This window comes from Homo sapiens, chromosome 6 (assembly GCF_000001405.40).
Source record: "Homo sapiens chromosome 6, GRCh38.p14 Primary Assembly".
NCBI lineage: Eukaryota > Metazoa > Chordata > Mammalia > Primates > Hominidae > Homo > Homo sapiens.
In genome coordinates this window covers 24,578,952-24,600,273 of record NC_000006.12, presented here as the reverse complement: position 1 = coordinate 24,600,273, position 21,322 = coordinate 24,578,952, and the positions used below count along the sequence as shown (strand labels likewise).

Here is a 21,322-nt window from a genome sequence, read left to right as displayed (position 1 = left end):
AAGAAAAAATGTCCCCTTATTTCATCTTTAATATACTCTAGAAAATACCTTCATTAATGTTTTAGATGATGTCATTAATGTTTAGAGACCCATATTTTTTCCTTTGCAAATCTCTACTTTTTCATTCCTTTTTGCCCTTTTCTTATGAGGTATTCTCCCTTAATTCAAAATATCAATTCCTGAGTTATTGCATCCCAATAAATGTTATTTGCAATTTGCTCATCTTCCTTTTTTTTTTTTTGGGCAGTTGGCAGAACTAGCTGAGGGTTTATTTTGGAAAAAAACCAATTGAATTGTTTTGTAGCTGGAGGCATGGGCAAAGGGGGATACCCCAGGCAGTGAACTCTCCCGCGGGTCGGCTGAGGGCGAGCGCTGAGCCTCAGGTGGGTCTCCTGTTCCCTATGCTCCCCTGCACAGTGGCCTCCCCCACAGGCTCTGGGGCAGTCACAGGAGGGGGTAGGCTGGGAGGGGCTGCTGTGGCCATTCACTTGGGCAGAACATCAGAGGACTCAGACACCAGTTTCCTATCACAAATCTCGATCTTCTTCACAACCATGGCCCTGAAGGAGTTGGTGCTGCTGAAGGAGCTGGAGCACCCGCCAGAGCCAAAGCTGGAGCCCAGGCTGTAGCTGAGGCCCCCATAGGCTGAGCTCAGCTCACCTGAGTAGCCACTGGTGGTCTTTGTATGGATATTCATGTTCTGCATCCCAGACTCCAGCCAGCTCTCCTCGCCCTCCAGCACCTTCCTGTAGGTGACAATCTCGATGTCCAGGGTTGGCTTGATGATCATCAGCTCCTGGTACTCATGCAGCTGCCATGCCATGTCCTGCATGGCCCACTGCAGGGTGGCCTCCAGCTTGGACAGCTTGGCATTGGCATCCTTAATGGCCAGCTCCCCACGCTTCTCCGCATCCACAATGGTGGCCTCTAGGGAAGCCCTCTAGCCTTTGAGGCCCTCAGTCTCAGTCTGGAGCCGGCTGATGTTCTGATTCATCTCAGAGATCTCCATCTTTGTATAACACAGGTCATCCCTGTGCTTCCCAGCCAGTGCCTGCAGCTCCTCATACTTGACCTGGTACAGGCTGTCAGCCCCGGCCTGGCTACAGTTGGTGATCTCCTTGTACTGGGCCTTGACCTCAGCAATGATGCTGTCCATGTCCAGGGACCAGCTGTTGTCCATGGACAGCACCACAGATGTGTCCCAGATCTGGGACTGCAGCTCCTGGATCTCCTCTTCATACAGCTGCCTGAGGAAGTTGATCTCGTTATTCAGCCCTTCCAGGCGAGACTCCTCCAGCTTTACCTTGTTCATGTAAGCTTCATCCACATCCCTCTTGATGAGGACAAATTCATTCTCCATCGCTAAAATTATTTTTTTACTTTTTATTTTTTTTTTAAATGCAGTCTTCTCACTCTGTCACCCAGGCTGGAGTGCAGGGGCATGATCTCGGCTCACTGCAACCTCTGCCTCCTGGGTTCAAGGAATTCTCCTGCCTCAGCCTCCCGAGTAGCTGGAATTACAGGCACCCACCACTATGCTCAGTTAATTTTTGTATTTTTAGTAGAGACAGGGTTTCACCATGTTGGTCAGGCTGGTCTTGAACTCCTATCCTCAGGTGATCCACCCACCTCGGCCTCCCAAAGTGTTGGGATTACAGATGTGAGCCACCGCACCCACCCTTCTGTAAAATTATTGATCTTGTCCTTGTACTTGTTCTTGAAGTCCTCCACCAGCCCTGGTGTGTTGCCAAACTCGGCCTCCAGCTTCAGCTTTTCCTGGCCCAGCATGTCCAGCTGCTGCCATAGGTTGATGTAGCTCTTGAACATGCAGTCCACATTCATCCAAACTGTCTTCTGCTGCTGCAGGAGGCTCCAGTTGGTCTCCAGCACCTTGTTCTGCTGCTCCAGGAACCATACCTTGTTGATAAAGGAGGTAAACTTGTTGTTGATGGTCTTGATCTGCTCCTTCTCCTGGGTGCACATGGCCTGGATGTTGGGGTCCACCTCCAGCTTAAGGGGGCTCAGCAGGCTCTAGTTGACTGTGATGGCTGTGATGCCCTCCATACCACTGGTCCCGCCATAGCCTCCACCCAGACCCATACTGGTGCCCAGGCCACCTTGGAAGCTGCTGCTGCTGCCCACTCGAGAGAAGCTCAAGGAGCTGATGCTGGCACCAGGCCAGCTTGTGTAGGAGTGGCTGCTGAAGGCCCAGGGGCCAGAGGTAGACACCTTGTAGGACTTATGGGTCACCTTGATGGATATGGTGGAGGCAGGAGGGCTGAACCAGGTGGAGATTCAAGACGGTGCAGATGCTTCTAGGTGGTTTTTTTTTTTTTTTTTTTTTTTTTTTTTTTTTGAGATAGGGTCTTGCTCTGTCACCCAGGCTGGAGTGCAGTGGTGCCATCATGGCTCACTACAGCCTCAACCTCCTGGGCTTAAGCAATCCTCCCATGTTGGCCTCCCAAAGTGCTGGGATTACAGGTGTGAACCATCACACTCAGCCTTCTTTATCTTTTTTACCTTTGTAAAGGCTAACCAGTGATTTTATTAACTTGTCAAGAATCATCAAGTAACTAGTATTCCCACAGATTGGGCTAGGATTCATAGAGCATACAAACATAGGCGACAGGTTCCCTGGTCTCCAGTTTGATAGAAGAGCTTTCTAGAGTGTCTCTAATAGATTCTGAAGTAATTATGGCAACTTGGACCAAATGAAGAATGATTTAGTTGTTGGGAGCCCCACCTTCTCAAACTTCTTTATTTAGCATTAAGATCTTTGCTTTTAAGGTATGTATATCTAAACAGCCCCCATTCAGGTGATTTTTTGCAGAACAAAGGAACGGTGCACTCCAGAGGTGTCCCAAGGAATCCACCACCTCCAGCCACACTGAAAACTGCCCTAAGCTTTGAGTTGGAGGCTTCTGCCTTACAAAGGTCTCCTTGCCTCCTTGTGACAGTTTGCTTCCCTGTCAATTTATCCACCATTAAAATAGCCTGTGAGACTTAAAATCAATTAACGATAAAACAGAGACATGATGCTATTTTGTAAAGTAAACCTGTATAATTGAATTTTATGTGAGGAACAAAGTATTATAAATAGTATAAATACAATGTAGAAGAATGTTCCTGTTAAGTAAATGGAGTGAAACTATATGAAAAAATAACAAATGGAAGGAAGGGTGCATGGATAGGTGTAAGAATCTCTGGATGGATGAGTGGGTGGATGGGTGGAGGGATGGAGTGATGGATGGATGAGTGGAAAGGTAGAAGAATAGAAAGATGGATGGATGGATGGGAGGGTGGATGGATGGATGGATGGATGGATGGAAAAGTAGAAGGGTAGATGGATGAGTATGTGGGTGAAAGGATGGATAGATGGATGGGTAGAAAGGTGGAAAGATAGGAGGAAAGACGGGTGGATGAATGAAAGGATGAGTAGATGGAAGATGAATGAGTGGGTGGGAAGGTAGGAGGATGAATATATGGCTGGATGGTTTGATGGATTGCTGTGATCTTTCTGTGTGAAATGCTGATTGTTTATTTGCTTGCCAGACTGGCCAGGGATTGAGAAGACTCCCTTTTCCTGGTTTCTTAAGCTGGAGGTGCTTCCCTGTGATATGCCTCTCTCCCTCATTAGAAACTACTTTGTTTAAAGGTTGTGCCCGTAAGCAGTGCAGCGAGGGGAGGACATATTCCAATGCAGTCATTTCACCTAACTTGGAAACCACCAGAATCATGCGGGTGTCTCACACCTTCCCTGTCGTAGACTGCACGGCCGCTTGCTGTGACCTGTCCAGCTGTGACCTGGCCTGGTGGTTCGAGGGCCGCTGCTACCTGGTGAGCTGCCCCCACAAAGAGAACTGTGAGCCCAAGAAGATGGGCCCCATCAGGTCTTATCTCACTTTTGTGCTCCGGCCTGTTCAGAGGCCTGCACAGCTGCTGGACTATGGGGACATGATGCTGAACAGGGGCTCCCCCTCGGGGATCTGGGGGGACTCACCTGAGGATATCAGAAAGGACTTGACCTTTCTAGGCAAAGATTGGGGCCTAGAGGAGATGTCTGAGTACTCAGATGACTACCGGGAGCTGGAGAAGGACCTCTTGCAACCCAGTGGCAAGCAGGAGCCCAGAGGGAGTGCCGAGTACACGGACTGGGGCCTACTGCCGGGCAGCGAGGGGGCCTTCAACTCCTCTGTTGGAGACAGTCCTGCGGTGCCAGCGGAGACGCAGCAGGACCCTGAGCTCCATTACCTGAATGAGTCGGCTTCAACCCCTGCCCCAAAACTCCCTGAGAGAAGTGTGTTGCTTCCCTTGCCGACTACTCCATCTTCAGGAGAGGTGTTGGAGAAAGAAAAGGCTTCTCAGCTCCAGGAACAATCCAGCAACAGCTCTGGAAAAGAGGTGAGTGTGTTCAGGATGTGCTTGGGGGTGGGATGGGCTGAGTGGGGCAGACCGTAGGAGGGGCTGAGTTTCAGGAGCCGGGCACTCATTCAGGCTGTATGAGCTTAAGGAGGTTCCGCCTAAGGGCACCTGTCTCAGGTGGTGGCAAGAAAGATGACTGTCTCTCAGAGATTTCTAGGAAGCAGAACATCTCATTCCTTTGCTATGCCTCCATGGCCAGGCTGTTAAAAAGAATAGTTCTGCCTTCACGAGTCAGCCAGCTCATAACGACTTAGCACTTCTCCCTAGAAATGCCTGTAGCGTTTTTTTTTTTTTTTTTTTTTTTTGAGATTGAATCTCGCTCTGTCGCCCAGGCTGGAGTGCAGTGGCATGATCTCAGCTCACTGCAAGCTCCACCTCCTGGGTTCACGCCATTCTCCTGCCTCAGCCTCCCGAGTAGCTGGGACTATAGGCGCCCATCACCATGCCCAGCTAATTTTTTTGTATTTTTAGTAGAGATGGGGTTTCACCATGTTAGCCAGGATGGTCTAGATCTCCTGACCTCATGATCCACCCACCTTGGCCTCCCAAAGTGCTGGGATTACAGGCGTGAGCCACCGCGCCTGGATACTCTAGCGACATTTAAGGCAACGGGAGATGGTATAGAAGTCCCTGGGGCCAGCACATACACCCAGGGGCTTTGAAAATCCACCCTAGTAGGTTTCTTCAAGACCCAACAGGTGCTTTGGCTGCTAGAAACTCAACATGGCATCATGAACAATTGGATAGGATGAGAGAGCTATGAAGGAGAGAACTTAAGCGTCATAAAACGTTCCATGAAAAAGCTCAGGTGAAAAAAGAATGAGGGTCACTGCAGTGGAGCGATTTCAAAAGCAGGTGGAAAGCCTAAGTGTTAATGGCAGGAGGTCAGGGAGACAGACAATGAGAACTGTGTGGTGAGGAGAGAGTAGTTGGAGAGCTCAGAGGTTGCTTGTTTGGAAACTGGTCAGGACTTGAGAATGTGGTGAGCATGTTGATCAGAGGAAGCTGAGTATAGGTGGAAATAAAGTAAAAAAAAAGCTTGGAGTACTTCAAGAATTTTTTAAAGGAAAAGTTTTCCTTCTTTAGATTCCAGTACTTATGTTAGAATAAGTGAGGAATGCTGAATTGAATTGACTATACATTATAATCTCAACCATGAAAAATTGTTTAAAAATGTCTAGAAGTCATTTTTAAGTGTTTTTTTTTTTTGTTGTTTTTTTTTTGTGAGACAGAGTCTTGCTCTGTCGCCCAGGCTGGAGTACAGTGGCATGATCTCGGCTTACTGCAACCTCTGCCTCCTGGGTTCAAGCGATTCTCCTGCCTCAGCCTTCCAAGTAGCTGGGACTATAGGTGTGCACCACCATGCCCGGCTAATTTTTGTATTTTTTAGTAGAGATGGGTTTTCACTATGTTGGCCAGGCTGGCTTCGAACTCCTGACCTCAAATGATACCCCCACCTCGGCCTCCCAAAGTGTTGGGATTACAGGCATGAGCCACCGTGCCCAGCCAAGATTGAATCAGAAGGTTTTTTTCTGCTTATATTTTTCTGAATTTTGAAGTGTCTATATTTTTCCTTACTTATAATTGGATTAAAATGAAAAAACTTTCTTTTTTTTTTTTTTTTTTTTTTTTTTTTTTTTTTTTTTTTTTTTTGAGACAGAGTCTCACTCTGTCACCCAGGCTGGAGTGCAGTGGCATGGTCTTGGCTTACTGCAACCTCCGCTGCCCAGGTTCAAGTGATTCTCCTGCCTCAGACTCCTGAGTAGCTGAGATTACAGGCATCTGCCACCACGCCCAGCTAATTTTTGTATTTTTAGTAGAGATGGGGTTTCACCATATTGGTCAGACTGGTTTTGAATTCCTGACCTCATGATCCACCTGCCTCGGCCTCCCAAAGTGCTGGGATTACAGGCATGAGCCACTGCACCTGGCCTGAAAAAACTTTCAATTAAAAATAATCTGAAAGTATTAGAGATTAACCATGTTCTTTATTCATATCAGTAAATATTAAAATAATTTACTCTCTTTCATGTTGCCAAGTCATTTACTTCCTGGTTTATACAGATGGAACTCTCTGAAATCAAGCTCTATTAAAAATCTTTTGGCTCATTAGTTCTTTGAGGTTGGTTTTGTTAAAAGATAATTATTCAGGGCCGGGAGCAGTGTCTCATGCCTGTAATCCCAGCACTTTGGGAGGCCGAGGTGGGTGGATCACGAGGTCAGGAAATTGAGACCATCCTGGCTAACATGGTGAAACCCCATCTCTACTAAAAAATACAAAAAATTAGCCAGGCGTGGCGGTATGTGCCTGTAGTCCCAGCTTCCCAGCTACTCGGGAGGCTGAGGCAGGAGAATGGCGTGAACCCGGGAGGTGCAGCTTGCAATGAGCCGAGATCGCACCACTGCACTCCAGCCTGGGTGACAGGGCGAGACTCTATCTCAAAAAAAAAAAAAAAAAAAAAAAAGATAATTATTCAAATAGGTGAAATTGTGAATTGTTTAGATATAAAATGAACACGTGTTAGAGATTTTATTCTACTCATTACTCACTGAAGGAACTAGATTATAATTATCCTACAAGAAAACCTGAAGAACAGGCACATTCATAGGTTAAAAAATATATTGAAATGAGTGTGCAAACAGAGGCAAAACTGGGTTTCCAGTGAGGAAAGGAGGGAGTTCAGTTGAAGCTCTAGCAGACAGGAGAATTTACATGTCTATAGACAAGAATTATTTTACATTTTTATCATTTTTATGACCTATAACTTACAGAGTTGTAAAAATAGCTCAAATACAAGAATGACTAGAGGCAGATAACCTGGAGAGGTATCCAGTAGATAATGTTTTTTTTTATTTATTTTTATCTTATTTTAATTTTTTGAGACAGGGTCTCACTTTGTCACCGAGGCTGGAGTGGAGCAGCGTGATCTCAGCTCACTGCAGCCTTGACCTCCTGGGCTCAGGCAGTCCTCCCAACTCAGCCCCACAAGGTAGCTGGGACTACAGGCATGTGCCACCACACCCGGCTAATTTTTATGTTTTTGGTAGAGATGGGATTTCGCTATGTTGCCCAGGTTGGTCTCAAACTCCTGAGCTCAAGTGATCTGCCTGCCTTGGCCTCCCAAAATGCTAGGATTACATATGTGAGCCACCTTGCCCCACCGATAACATGCTGCTTTCCATTGAAATGCAAATTTTCCTCTGAAGTACATTAGATTTGTAGACAATCTCTGAATAAGTGTTCACAAAAATTACATGCATAGCATAATAAGAAGTCATTTGCTCAAGCCCAATACACTGATGCACAACTGTAATCCCAGCTACTTGGGAGATGGAGGTAGGAGAACTGCTTGAGGCTACGGGTGAGAGACCAGCCTGGGCAACAGAGTGAGACCCCATCTCTTAAAACAAAAAGAAAGAAAGAAAAGAAACTATTTCATTCTGATGCAGTGCAAAGTTTGGAATTGATGACAGAAACTAAGATCTTTTCTCTCACCAAAAAAATATGTAAAATAGTTCAATTGTATTTGGTAAAGGTATCTAGAAAATTTAATGGGGAAAGAATAGTATTTTCAACAAATGGTGTTAGGACAACTGGATATTTACATGCAAAAGAATGAATTTAGACCCCTATCTCATACCTTATTTTAAAAAAATTAACTCAAAATGGACCAACGTTCTCAATATATGAGTTAAAACTATAAGAGACATGGAAGAAAACTCAGCATAAATCTTTGTAAACTTAGGCAATTATTTCTTAGTACATCAAAAGCATAGCAATAAAATAGAAAAATGGTAAATTTGAATTAATAAAAAGTAGAAACTTTTGTATTTCAGATGACAACATCAAAAGAGTAAAGCTTTCTTGATGGAATAAATATACCATAAAATGGGATAAATATACCATAAATATTGTATACTGAATATATAAATAACTCTTACAACTTAATAATTAAAAGACAAATAACCCAACTCAAACATGGGCAAAGGATCTGAATAGACTTTCTCCAAAGATCATAGAAGAATAGCCAAGAAGCACATGAAAAGATGCTCAGCACCATTAATCTTTAGGGAAATGCAAGTCAAAACCACAATGAGATACCACTTCACATCTACTAGATGGCTAGAATAAAATCTAAAAATAGATAATAAGTGTTAGTAAGGATGCAGAGAAATTGGAACTCTCATACACTGCTGGTGGGAATGTGAGATGTTGCAGCCACTTTGGTTTGTTTTTGATTTTCGTTTTTTGAGAGACAGGGTCTTGTTCCACACCCAGGTCAAAATGCCACGGTGCAGCATGGCTTACTGCATCCTTAAACTCCTGGGCTCCAGTGATTCTCTCACCTCAGCCTCTTGAGTAGCTGGGACCACAGTGCCCAGCTAATTTTTTTTATTTTTATTTTTGTAGAGATAGAGTCTCACTCTGTTGCCCAGCCTGGTCTCAAACTCCTGGGCTTAAAGAATCCTCCTGCTTTGGCCTCCTAAAATGCTGGGATTACAGGTGTGAGCAATTATGCCTGGCCCCAGTGTAGCTGCTTCGGAAGACAGTCTTGCATTTCCTCAAAATGTTAAATGCAGACTTAACCATATGACCCAGGAATTCCACTTCTGGGTATTTACACAAGAGAAAGAAAACATGTCCATATAGAAACTTGTACATGAATGTTCATAACAGTACTATGCATAAAATAGTGCCATTGAACAGGGTATCTAGGAAAAATAAATCAAGATCAAACTTGTAGAGGATAAAGGACATTTTTTGCAACTGTGTTTTCCTGTGGACAAGACTAGAGAAATCACCTAAAACAAGTTGTTTTAAAGTAAATGAGTAGAGAACATAGAAACAAGAGCCATTTGAAACTTTTGCTGACGAGGCCCAGGTTAACTTGAAGGCTGAAATGGGTGATGCTGGTGCTCAGTGGCTTCCATAGAGGATTGATTTTTCTTTGGAGGGGTTTGTCAGAGAGGACCTTGTGTCCTGATGACTTAGTGAGTAGTTCTGTGGTGGAGGTTGTGGGTGGATTACTGAATAGTGAAGGGAAGAATTGGCATGTGATTCCAGCCTGGAGAGGCAGCATGGTGGAAAAGTGAATGTTTTAGAGAAGAGCAGGATGAGAGGTTTCTTCCCCTTCAGCCATTTCTGGCTTAGTGACCTTGGCCCAAGGTGCCTTAATTTCTCTGACCACTGTCTACCTTCATTCTTTATTTCAACTTGGCAATAATTTTTCAGGACTTGATTAAAAAAAAATTCAATTCATCCTATGGGATTTGCAGAGGCCCCAGTATAAAATGTTATGGACACCTATTCTGCAGCCCTGGTTTGCAGTAATTTTGAATTTCGTGCTATTCTTAGAGAGCACAGATTCAATGAACAGCTTAATCTATAGCACTCACTTCACAAACCCAGATGCCTGAAAATTCAATTAAATCAAACATCTTAAAATTATATAGTAAACCCACTACCTGATTTTTAAAATGTTGGTCAATTGGTTTCCCTTAGTTTGATCAATACAGCTTAATTTCATTATTTCGTCTTGTTTTTTTTTTTTTTTGCCTTCGTTCTGAAAATTTAGTTGCAGGTTTCACCAGTTGCCTAGTAAATATCTGGAACCCAGTAGGGGCTCAGTTACTATTTGTAGTGATGTAAGGGATCACACCTCCAAGCACAAAATGTATGCCATATCCTTATGGACTTTTCTCAACTGTAGAAAAGAGTAGTTGTCTTTTCAATTAGCACCAATGGCCCCCTCTCTGATTTACATTTGAATTATAGCTTTTCTTTCTGTGAGTTTCTCACTGCACATGGTCCCTGTGGGCCTTCTATATTCTTAGTCTAAGAGTTTTACTTACCTGGCCCCACACAGTTACTGACTAAAAGTCGCAAAAGATATTTTATTATCATATTATGAGACTTTTCCCTCCAGCACACACTGTTTAGTTTAAGAACTTTAACTTGGCTAACTCTGTAACTTTATCGGTTATACATAATGGATAAAATGAATAAAGATGACTTACTCTAGAAGCCTGTTTACTATTGAATTATTTGATTGTCTTCAATTGTTGCTTTAGTGATTGTCTTAGCTTGTGCTGCTGTAACAAAATACCATTGTAGTAGTCCATTCTTACATTGCTATAAAGACATACCTAAGACTGGTTAATTTACAAAGGAAAGAGGTTTAAGTAACTCACAGTTCCACATGGCTGGGGAGGCCTCAGGGAACTTACAGTCATGGCAGCAGGTGAGAGAGCAAGCAGGGGAAATGCCAGATGCTTATAAAACCACCAGATCTCGTGAGAACTCACTCACTATCACGAGAACAGCATGGGGGGAACCGTCCCATGATCCAGTTACCTCCATTTGGTCTCTCCCTTGACACGTGGGGATTATAATTCAAGATGAGATTTGGGTGGGGGCACAAAGCCTAGCCATATCAGCCATGAACTGGGTGGCTTAAACAACAGACATTTATATCTCACAGAACTGAAGTTTGGAGGTCTGAGATTAGGATGCCAGCAGGGTTGGGTTCTTGGCGAGGGTTTCTTGATTTATAGGTAGTCATCTTTTTGCTGTGTGCTTACAAGGAAGAAAGAGAGCTAGCTAGCTCTTTCTCCTCTACTTATAAGGGCACGAATCCCATTTATGAAGGCTTTACCCTCATAACCTAATTACTTCCCAAAGGCCCTACCTCCAAATACTATCACATTGAGGGTTAGGATTTCAACAAATGAATTTTTTGGGGTGGAAGGAGGTGTGGGGCAGAAACATTCAGTCCATTGAACTGGTCAGTTTAGGGGCTACTATAATTACTTTCTCATTCTTTGAGTGTTTGTGTGAGTTCACCTATACTAATTGTCCAACCCACAGTTGCCTTATGTTTCTAATAGACAGCAAAGAGAGTACTTGAGAGAGATGGTCTAGAGTTCCAGAGTTTTGCAATATTATTCATGGTTTTTCAAACATTACCAAAGCTAATTTATGAAAAAGGTTGGTAACATTGAGTTGCTTGAAGAGTTGGACTGTTTTTTTTTTAATAACAATTTATCCTTGTAATTGATCTCGTAGGTTCTAATGCCTTCCCATAGTCTTCCTCCGGCAAGCCTGGAGCTCAGCTCAGTCACCGTGGAGAAAAGCCCAGTGCTCACAGTCACCCCGGGGAGTACAGAGCACAGCATCCCAACACCTCCCACTAGCGCAGCCCCCTCTGAGTCCACCCCATCTGAGCTACCCATATCTCCTACCACTGCTCCCAGGACAGGTAACTTTTAAAAAATACAATTTCAAGAAATGTACTGAAGACAGGCTGTAGAATTTGGTGGTGACAACTTTTAAAGTTTACTCATTCCCTCCAGGCACATTTTTCAGCATCTATCATGTGCCAGAAACGGTGCTGCATACTGGGAATAAAAAGATGAATAAGACATTGTCTTTTCCCTCAGGGACTCCATAGTCCAGGAGAGGAGACTGGCAGGTAAAGAGGTGGTTCTGATACAATATGGTAAGTGCTGTGAGAGGCTGCTGTGGGAGCAGAGGGGCACCCTGATCCACTAACAGGGTCCAGGGATGCCTTTCCAGAGGAGATGATGCTAGGATAGAGTGAGCCAGCAAAAATGGCATTGGTCTGTTGTTCAGGTGGAGGGAGCAACATGTTTCATAACAATCGTGATCATTGTATTTACTGAGCACTTACAGAGTGCCAGGCAATATGCTCAGTGCTTCCCATCCATCATCTCTCATTCATTGCCTGTGCAAGAAAACAGAAGTACAAGAGCTCACGGGACATTTCGGAAGAACTGTAAGGGATTCAGTATGGCTGGAACTGGAGTGGTAAGCAGGACAAGAACTGGAAAGATCATGTATTTTGTGCTAAAGATTCTGCACTTTCCTGGATGGGTATAGAGAATCCCTGAATGGTTTTAAGCAGGAAAGCAAAATGATCAGATTTGTATTAAGAAATAGTGTGGGATGAGCCCGGTGGCTCACGCCTGTAATTCCAGCCCTTTGGGAAGCCCAGGCGAGCAGATCATGAGGTCAGGAGTTCAAGACCAGCCTGGCCAACATGGTGAAACCCCATCTCTACTAAAAATACAAAAAAAATTAGCTGGGCGTGGTGGCACACACCTGTAACCCCAGCTACTTGGGAGGTTGAGGCAGGAGAATTGCTTGAACCCAGGAGGCAGAGGTTGCAGTTAGCTGAGATCGCTCCACTGCACTCCAGCCTGGGCAACAGAGCAAGACTGTCTTGAAAAAAGTAAAAAATGAATAAAAAGGGACCAGGCACGGTGGCTCACGCCTGTAATCCCAGCACTTTGGGAGGCCGAGGTGGGTGGATCATGAGGTCAGGAGATCGAGACCATCCTGGCTAACAGAGTGAAACCCCATCTCTACTAAAAATACAAAAAATTAGCCAGACGTGGTGGTGGGCGCCTGTAGTCCCAGCTACTTGGGAGGCTGAGGCAGGAGAATGGCATGAACCCGGGAGGCAAAGCTTGCAGTGAGCTGAGATCATGCCACTGCATTCTGTCCAGCCTGGGCGACAGAGTGAGATTCCGTCTCAAACCAAAAAAAAAGGAAAAAAAAGAAAATAGTGTGGAGTTGACTAGAGGCAACAAGATCCATGAAAAGGCTATGGTGAATGGTTGCAGAGATGGAGGGAAGGAACCAGATTTAGGAGACAGGAAGGGAGCAGAGTCACAAAGATTTGATAAGTGATTGAATGAATGTAAGGATGTGAAGGAAGAGGACGCTAAGACATATGAAAATACAGAACTAAAATTAGATGAGCAGTTGGGCTGAAGATAAAGGATTACGAGTCATCGGTGTGGAGGTGATAGTTGCAGACACGGGGGACATAGGAGATCATCCAGGGAGAGAGGGGGGTTAGCTGAGGAGAGGCCTGAGGACTGGAACTTTGGGGACATTGTTCTATAAGGAGCTGGAAGTGCAGAAGGAGCCTGCAAAACTGATTGGGTAGTTGTGCCAGAGAGGTAGGAGATAAAGAGGAAAGCTAGAGGGAGAGAGTTCTATGGAGGAGGATAGAATAAGTTTCCATCTACCCTTCTAAGTTCTAGGCTAGTGCCCCTGTAACAAAAGATAGATTAACAAGAGAGAAAAAAAAAACAAGTTTATAACATGTACATCTTACCTATACGTGGGAGATGCCCAGGGAAATGAGGAAATCTCAGAGAGGTTTATTATATAAGCTTATATTATATAAGCCTGGAACTCTGGCTTATATAGCATCTTGAACTAAAACAAGGAAAGAGGATTGTGGGGAAGGCAAGTGGCCAAAGGTGCCCAGAATAAACGAAGTAAGCAAGAGTGAGGTTCATTATGCAGATTTGTCAGGACCTTCTCTATGGATGTGGATCTCTTGGAATGTAGTCACCCTTCTCTTCCTGGTATAGAAGGAGAGAGACCCTTACAAATGGAGATTTCCTTTATAGATATAAATTCCCCTTACAAAGGAGTAACTTCTACTCTGTTTTCAGAGCTCCTCTTGGTCTGCTGTTTCTTCAAAACAAACAAACAAACAAACAAAAAACACAGCTCAAAATAATCCTTGTATAAAAGAGTTATAGTTGCAATGGCATATTCTAGTTTCCTACAGTCTGTGAACCAAAAGTATCTGAGACAGGTCTCAATCAATTTAGAAAGTTTATTTTGCCAAGGTTAAGGACTCACCAGTGACACAGCCTCAGGAGGTCCTGATGACATGTATCCAAGGTGGTCAGGGTACAGCTTGTTTTTTTTTGTTTGTTTTGAGACGGAGTCTTGCTTCGTGGCCAGGCTGGAGTGCAGTGGCGTGACCTTGGCTCACTGCAACCTCTGCCTCCGAGGTTCAAGAGATTCTCCTGCCTCAGCTTCCTGAGTAACTGGGATTACAGGCACCCATGACCATTCCCGGCTAATTTTTGTATTTTTAGTAGAGACAGGGTTTCTCCGTGTTGGCCAGCCTGGTCTTGAACTTCTGACTTCAAGTGATCCACCTGCCTCAGCCTCCCAAAGTACTGGGATTACAGGTGTGAGCCACTGTGCCTGGCCACCTTGGTTTTATACATTTTAGGGAGACATAAGACATCAATCAGTATGTGTGAGATGTACATTGGTTTGGTCCAGAAAGGCATGACAACTGGAAGGGGGTCTTTCAGGTCATAGGTATATAAGAGACAAATATTGCATTCTTTTGAGTCTTTGATCAGTCTTTCACTGAATACACAATTTACTTGCCAGAGGGGGTAGAGGAATAGTCACTTATGCCTTGTCTGGCTCAGTGAATCTGTATTTTTTCATAAACAATAGGGCAGAGGAAACAATTAGATATGCATTTGTCTCAGGTGAGCAGAGGGATGGCTGAGCTCTTTCCCCCACCCCCTGCACCTGTGAAGATAAGCTATTGATTTACATTGCCAGGGTGAAATTCAACAAAACTGTTTTAGGGCAAAGATCTTGAGGCCCACAAGGAGTTTCTTGTGGGCAAATTATAAGGAAGGCATGTAGCTTTTTTTTTTTTTAATCTTTGTAGGTATCTCGTTTAGGAATAAAATGAGATGCGGGTTTGCCTGACACAGTTCCCAGCTTGACTTTTCCCTTTGGCTTAGTGATTTGGGGGTCCCGAGATTTATTTCCCTTTCACAAATCATATTTTGGGGTGGCATGTTCTGGTCTCCTGTAGTTCCAAAAGGGAAGACGTATCAAAGCTCCATGTGTCGCAGAGGCTGTGGTGAGGATTGCAAAGCTTCCATTAGATTTTCCAATAAGGAAGTTATTAGAATATGCTAGACGTAAGGGTCATGTTTCCTGAGCTTTTCTGTGGGCCATGTATTTTGGAGATTACTCTCTCTAACTTTTGTATTTACTTTGAGCCTGAGCTTCCATAGAGAGAAAGATAATAGTGGGAGAGAAGCTGTGTAGTATACGGAAAAAGAAACTGGCCTGGGAGTTTGGCCCAGGATCTTTGGGTTTTAATAGAACCTACTGCATACAGTTGTAATGAGGATTAAATGAATTGATCATTTTAAAGCCCTTGGGGCAATGCCTGGCACAGTTTAATCCGGTATATAAGTGTTTGTTGAAATGAATACATTTAAATTAAATATTGGTGGACCTATTGCTAATTACCATACAGCCTTGGACAACTTTGCTTTTCTAGGATTTAATTTCCCCACCTATAACATGATAGGTTTGGATCAATGTCCCTTCTAGGTCTACAGTTGCTGACTTTCAGGATAAAGAGTTAGTGAAAATGACAAGAGAGGAGCCAGCAAAGCCACTGAGAGCCTCTGCAGCTGATCTAGGAGGCACTCGAGGGACTGAGGACTGAGAGGAGGGGAGTGGATTAAATGAACAACCTGTCTGACATCTCCTTGCAGCTGATCCCTCTGGAGCACTCAGCTTTTTTTTTTTTTTTTTTTTTTTTAAATCTTTGCTTTTCTCTGTGTAGTATCTGGACATATCGCAATATATTTTACAAGTGAAACTAATGTCCAATGGAGCCAAACCGATAGAATTTATGAATATATCAATGTAATCTGGTTACAGAGAAAGTAAACAAGTATTGTTCTGAATGCTTACTTGGTGGCTAAGCACTTTTGATAAGAGTTAATGTTCCTGCTGCTTAAGTTAAAATAGGTTTTTTATATTGAGGGTGACTGGATTTTGTCTTGGAAAGGTTCCAAGTACAAGGCCATTAGCAGTAATTCATGAGGCTACTATCAGAACTGAGTGGAGTGTGACTAATGAGACAGAAACACTTAGGATTACACTCAATCTTTTTATAACTAAAAATAGCTCACACCAGGGCGTCAAGAAAAGCTGATAGCAAGGGAGAAAATGGACCCAATTCACAGTTGCATGAAACCTGTTTCACGCAACTCTTGTCACTCAATACGTTGCTCAGTCAATTTGAATCATTATTTTTGTCACAGTGCCAACTCATATTTGTGGTTTAAAACCCTGTACTATAATATAGTGTACAGTTCAATTTCTAGCCAGAGGAAAAACGTGCCTTAGCTAAAATCTTATGAAGAACTATTACAAAAGCATATGTTATTTTAATTTATGGATACCAAAAACAGATCTAGTGTAGAGCAGTAATGTAACACATTATATTATATAATTGCACGTATTATTTCTAATTAACTTTTAGTGAAAGAACTTACGGTATCGGCTGGAGATAACCTAATTATAACTTTACCCGACAATGAAGTTGAACTGAAGGCCTTTGTTGCGCCAGCGCCACCTGTAGGTGAGAGTTTAACCTTCCTCCCTGACCACTAGGAACTGGGGTGTTTTTCTTCAGCAGGTCCTTACAGGCTATTTACAACGCCGATTCTTTTTCACAGTATTGCACGACGTCACAAACAAAGGTGGAGGACAAGGCTTTGATTATTCTTAAGCATCAACATTTGTTGAAATAGTTTCAAATGGAGTAAGAATCTAGGAAATTAAATACAGTATATATCGTTTAATTGGTCAGGATGGAAAGTCATAAATTTCTGATGATGCAAAGCAGATCAGGAGAGGCTGCCACGTACCAGTTCTTGAACTGTAATAACCCATAGAACCTGGGAAGATTCCACCGGGATGAGAGGGAAGTGGCGTGCACCCATAGGTTTGTTTGCAGATACTGTGGCATTGACAATCACGGCTCTCAGGTTCTCAGGATGCCTCACACTAGCTGCTCAAAAAAATTTATTCAAAATGCTCTTTCTTCTACTTGTCCAGTGCTCTACCATTCAGTAAGCATTTGACCTGGGACCTGTGGCCTGTCAAATGCATTGTTTTTAAGGTAAACTCATTCTTAAGGTGTTTGACTATTTCTCATTCAGGTTAGTTCCTTAATTCATTTTTTTCTCCACCACATATTGGTCAAAATTTTATACACAGAGATGATAATATTTGGCATTTGCATTTTAATCCTTTGAGGTGAGGTACCTTATATTTTAACTACTAATATCTGCAGCTGGGAGACAGTTTCATCTTAACATAGACATGTTTATACTGTTTTTGTGTCCTTAAATAAACCCCTACAACAGATCAAATGAATTGAAATCTCCTTGCCTTTTGTTAAAAAGAGAAAAGCACAATGTATTATACTATGTTAAAACTGATATGGATAGTCAGATGTAGCCCCCTAGGAAAAAACTCATCACATACTAATGGTTAAGTTAGGGAGGTTTTTTTTTTTTTAACTTTATACATTTTAAAAATTTCCTGTAAGACGTATGTTTTTATAACAAAAAAAGAAATGTTACATTAAGAAGATACATGTTATCTTGGCTGATAGTTGAAAGTCAAGTTCATAAGATGATAACAAGAGTGAGGGGATAAAAACAAATAAACAAAAAATATATATATAAGTTAAAAAAAAAAAAGAAAGCTGAGTTGAGTATATCTAAGGTAATCTGCACTGGTGGTTTAAAGGCTGTCATCTTCCCTCTGCCCAGGTTATCTAGTGTCCTCTCAGAATTTATAACTACTCATATTTATTTTTTGCTCTCAGAAACAACCTACAACTATGAATGGAATTTAATAAGCCACCCCACAGACTACCAAGGTGAAATAAAACAAGGACACAAGCAAACTCTTAACCTCTCTCAAGTAAGTAACTGGAGACTGGTTGTGTCTAACAGCACAGCGTAACGGCATAGAGCTCAGTTAATACCTTCTTAGCTACTGAACCCAAACGTCTTTCTTCTTTTTGGGGACAGAGTCTTGCTCTGTTGCCCAGGCTGGAGTGCAGTAGCGCAATTACAGCTCACTGCAACCTCTGCCTCCCGGGTTCAAGTGATTCTCCTGCCTCAGCCTCCTGAGTAGCTGGGATTACAGGTGCACGTCACCACACCCGGCTAATTTTTTTGTATTTTTTGTAGAGGTGGGGTTTCGCCATGTTGGCCAGGCTGGTTTTGAATTCCTGACCTCAAGTGATCTGCCCTCCTTGGCCTCCCAAAGTGTTGGGATTACAGGCATGAGCCACCACGCCCAGCTGCAAACATCTTTCTCATGGTAAGATCAAAAGTAGGATATGAATGAATAAAGTTTCAGGCATGCAAGTAGGCAGGCAGATGGTTAAGAGGCTTTGGATGGCGTTTCTTTATTTGGGTTACTTAGTATATCTCAGTTTGGGGAAAAGAGCCTGGTTGTCCCACAAGCATTGCAGAGAGGTTAAAAACCTGTTGTAACTCTTGCTCTCCTTGCAGTGTTAAGGACATTCTACTTATCTCTGGTTCTCAGTCCGGCACATCTCTAGAGTTGCCAATAATTCCATTCCAGGTCACAATTTGCCCTATCACATATTGTTCTATGATACAAGCACTCACAAGAAACATGCCCTCTTTCTGGCCTAGGAGGATATATAAACCGACTTAGCGACTAGAGATCTAGTCTCCTACCAGATGATTATGTTGACTTCATCTCCTGGGACCACACAGCTAATGGTACAACACAGACTTGCATCACCCTCATGTCATGGAGCTGTGTTTCTCAAAGTGTGGCATCCAGACCACCGGCAACCAATGCACCAGAGCTAGGTGGTAAAAATGCATGGTTCCATACACACATTTGAGAACTGCTGCCCTCTGCTGGTCCATCTCACCCAGGCCTCTTTGAAGCCCTCTGCAGCGAAGCTAAAGGCCTGTCTAGGTGATCTTTAGTGCTCCAGAATTCAGGCTTCAAACATGCGGCAGCCTCTTGACAGATCCAAATGAGACTGTCTCCTGAGCCCCTTCTCTATGCTGACTTTAGGAGTGCGGCTTCTGGGACATTTTAGCTTTTTCTACGTAGTGGACCCATCACGTCTTGCATGTTGAACTGTACAACTTTTCTTTATGTTACAGTTGTCCGTCGGACTTTATGTCTTCAAAGTCACTGTTTCTAGTGAAAACGCCTTTGGAGAAGGATTTGTCAATGTCACTGTTAAGCCTGGTAAGCCGGTGTAAGAGAATGACCTCCTGTTGTACATATTTATCTCAATTTTTGGTGCCTGGATGACTCTATATCTGTCTACCTATCTACCTAGAGAGACAAAACCTATTTTGTATTAGGCTCCATTGTAGAGAAAACACGCAAAGATTATATTTTTGGTTTTTTTTTCTACCTTTCGCATAACACTTTGTACTTGCTTGACAAGGTTATTGCTGGCTGCTCTCGAATGGTGGCAAATCTACCTTAGCCCTCTCTATCTGACATTTACACCATCCACTCTAACTTCTACCTCCACTCTCCGTGATTCAGCTTCACCTTCGAAGCAGGGGCATGTTGAATACATTCAACTGAGCAACCAAGAGGTCAGGGGAAAATGTATGCCCATCGGTCAGTGCATTCATGTGAATTAGAAACAGGTGGTTCTTGGGCTGGGTGGGCACAGCCCTGGCTTGGTGAGTAGAACATGGGCTGGCTTTCAGCCTCCACCAACCCCTCACCTGTGCTGAGGGCACAACCGACCCAATCAAGGTGAACCTCCCTTGTACCCACTTCAGCCCACCCTGAGGGCCTGACAGCTCTATCTTTTGCATATGGTTATGGGGGGTGGGGGGGGGAGTTGCCTTCAGTTAGAGATATAAGATCCACTCAATCCAAGGAGCTGGAACTGTAATCCCTTCATCCCTTGCTCCTGCTCTGTAATTACTGCTCACATTCTGTGATGAGCCCCTTGGTTATTATTGTACATCTTCACTGAGCCTGGGCTTACATGCAAAAGTGTAAATGTCCAGACAAGCTCCTGAAATTCATAGAGAGACTCCAGACTTTAAAAAGTGCTCTCCATAGTTGAGGCCTGTAGGATAAACACCTTCTTGACAGGACATGTATAATCAATTTTTTAAAGTAGATGATTTTATGTGGGTAATGACATATGCCTACACAAGATGGGCTCAGTCACTGTCCTTTTTTTTGTTACAGCCAGAAGAGTCAACCTGCCACCTGTAGCAGTTGTTTCTCCCCAACTGCAAGAGCTCACTTTGCCTTTGACGTCAGCCCTCATTGATGGCAGCCGTGTGTATCCTGAGATAGTTTAGGGATTTCTTTTTTTCTCTACGTGCTACGAAATGTAATGAGTGCTCTGCATCAAAGCTAGGAGGACTTATGGGCTGTTACTTTGATAAACGATCACCTCCTTCTTTAGTTTTATGTCTTCTTTAGTTCCTTTAGCTCCTCTATCCTGTGCTTATTTTCCCTTCACCTTTCGTCTATTCTATTAGAAAGTTCTTTAGCGCCTGGCCATTTGATAGGGAATTAGAGCAATTATTGAAGAATCTCCTTCTGGTGTGGTATATATGGTTAGCAGTTGGAAAATCACTTTGTGTATATATATATGTATATATATATAAGATATATAAGATATATATGAGATATATAAGATATATGAGATATATAAGATATATATATGAGATATATAAGATATATATGAGATATATAAGATATATATATATATATATATCTTTATATAGAGGAGCTCCCGTGACCTGACTTGGGAGGGGAGGTGCCCCCCACCAGATGGGAAAATCACTTTTAAGAACTCTTAGAAGGGATGTCTTCAGTGAGGGAGCGTGGTGGTTTTTTAAAATTCATTCAGAGATCGTTTCTTCTATGGGAGTATATGTGGAAGGGGCCCCTGTGTTAACTACAGGTGTCCATGTAAATAAGAATAGGTTGAAAACATCCTGTGGTTGACTAGGTTCAACCTTATCAGTGTAACAGGTAATTGCATTTTATGTACATTTAATCACAAAGTTAATACCAAATCCTTTAGAGGAAGAACGGTTGCCTTGGTTGTTGGAAGAAGAATACTTGTTAGCCATTAAAGCTGCCCTATCTTGCAAGCCTGCAAATTTACAGAGATCACATTGACATGACCATTTGCATCTACTCAAAAATAATCCATATTTCCATCTTAGCACC

The 21,322-nt window shown here is 43.1% G+C and overlaps 1 protein-coding gene and 1 pseudogene across 21 annotated transcripts in view, besides 1 other annotated feature; one reads left to right on the top strand and one right to left on the bottom strand.

Moving 5' to 3' along the window:
- The window catches only part of KIAA0319, a 106,051-nt gene that overhangs the window by 45,918 nt on the left and 38,811 nt on the right, over positions 1–21,322 (top strand). For 15 of the 21 annotated variants that reach the window (XM_017011546.3, XM_047419602.1, XM_047419604.1 and 12 more), the window contains 6 exons: positions 3,656–4,401; positions 11,489–11,681; positions 16,572–16,670; positions 17,928–18,025; positions 19,261–19,348; positions 20,324–20,416. In XM_017011546.3, coding sequence (XP_016867035.1) covers positions 3,656–4,401; positions 11,489–11,681; positions 16,572–16,670; positions 17,928–18,025; positions 19,261–19,348; positions 20,324–20,416 — 1,317 coding nt within the window. Of the gene's footprint in view, positions 1–3,655; positions 4,402–11,488; positions 11,682–16,571; positions 16,671–17,046; positions 17,214–17,927; positions 18,026–19,260; positions 19,349–20,323; positions 20,417–21,322 lie in introns of those variants that run through there. The other 6 variants (XM_047419603.1, XM_017011544.2, NM_001350405.2 and 3 more) reach the window with 3 other exon arrangements.
- On the bottom strand, positions 288–2,322 carry KRT8P43 (keratin 8 pseudogene 43; annotated as a pseudogene).
- Positions 10,586–10,786: a silencer, noted in NCBI's record as "peak5735 fragment used in MPRA reporter construct". NCBI's record gives its function as "represses an SCP1 promoter by STARR-seq MPRAs in K562 erythroleukemia cells {active_cell/tissue: K562}" and the evidence as "EXISTENCE:reporter gene assay evidence [ECO:0000049][PMID:32103011]".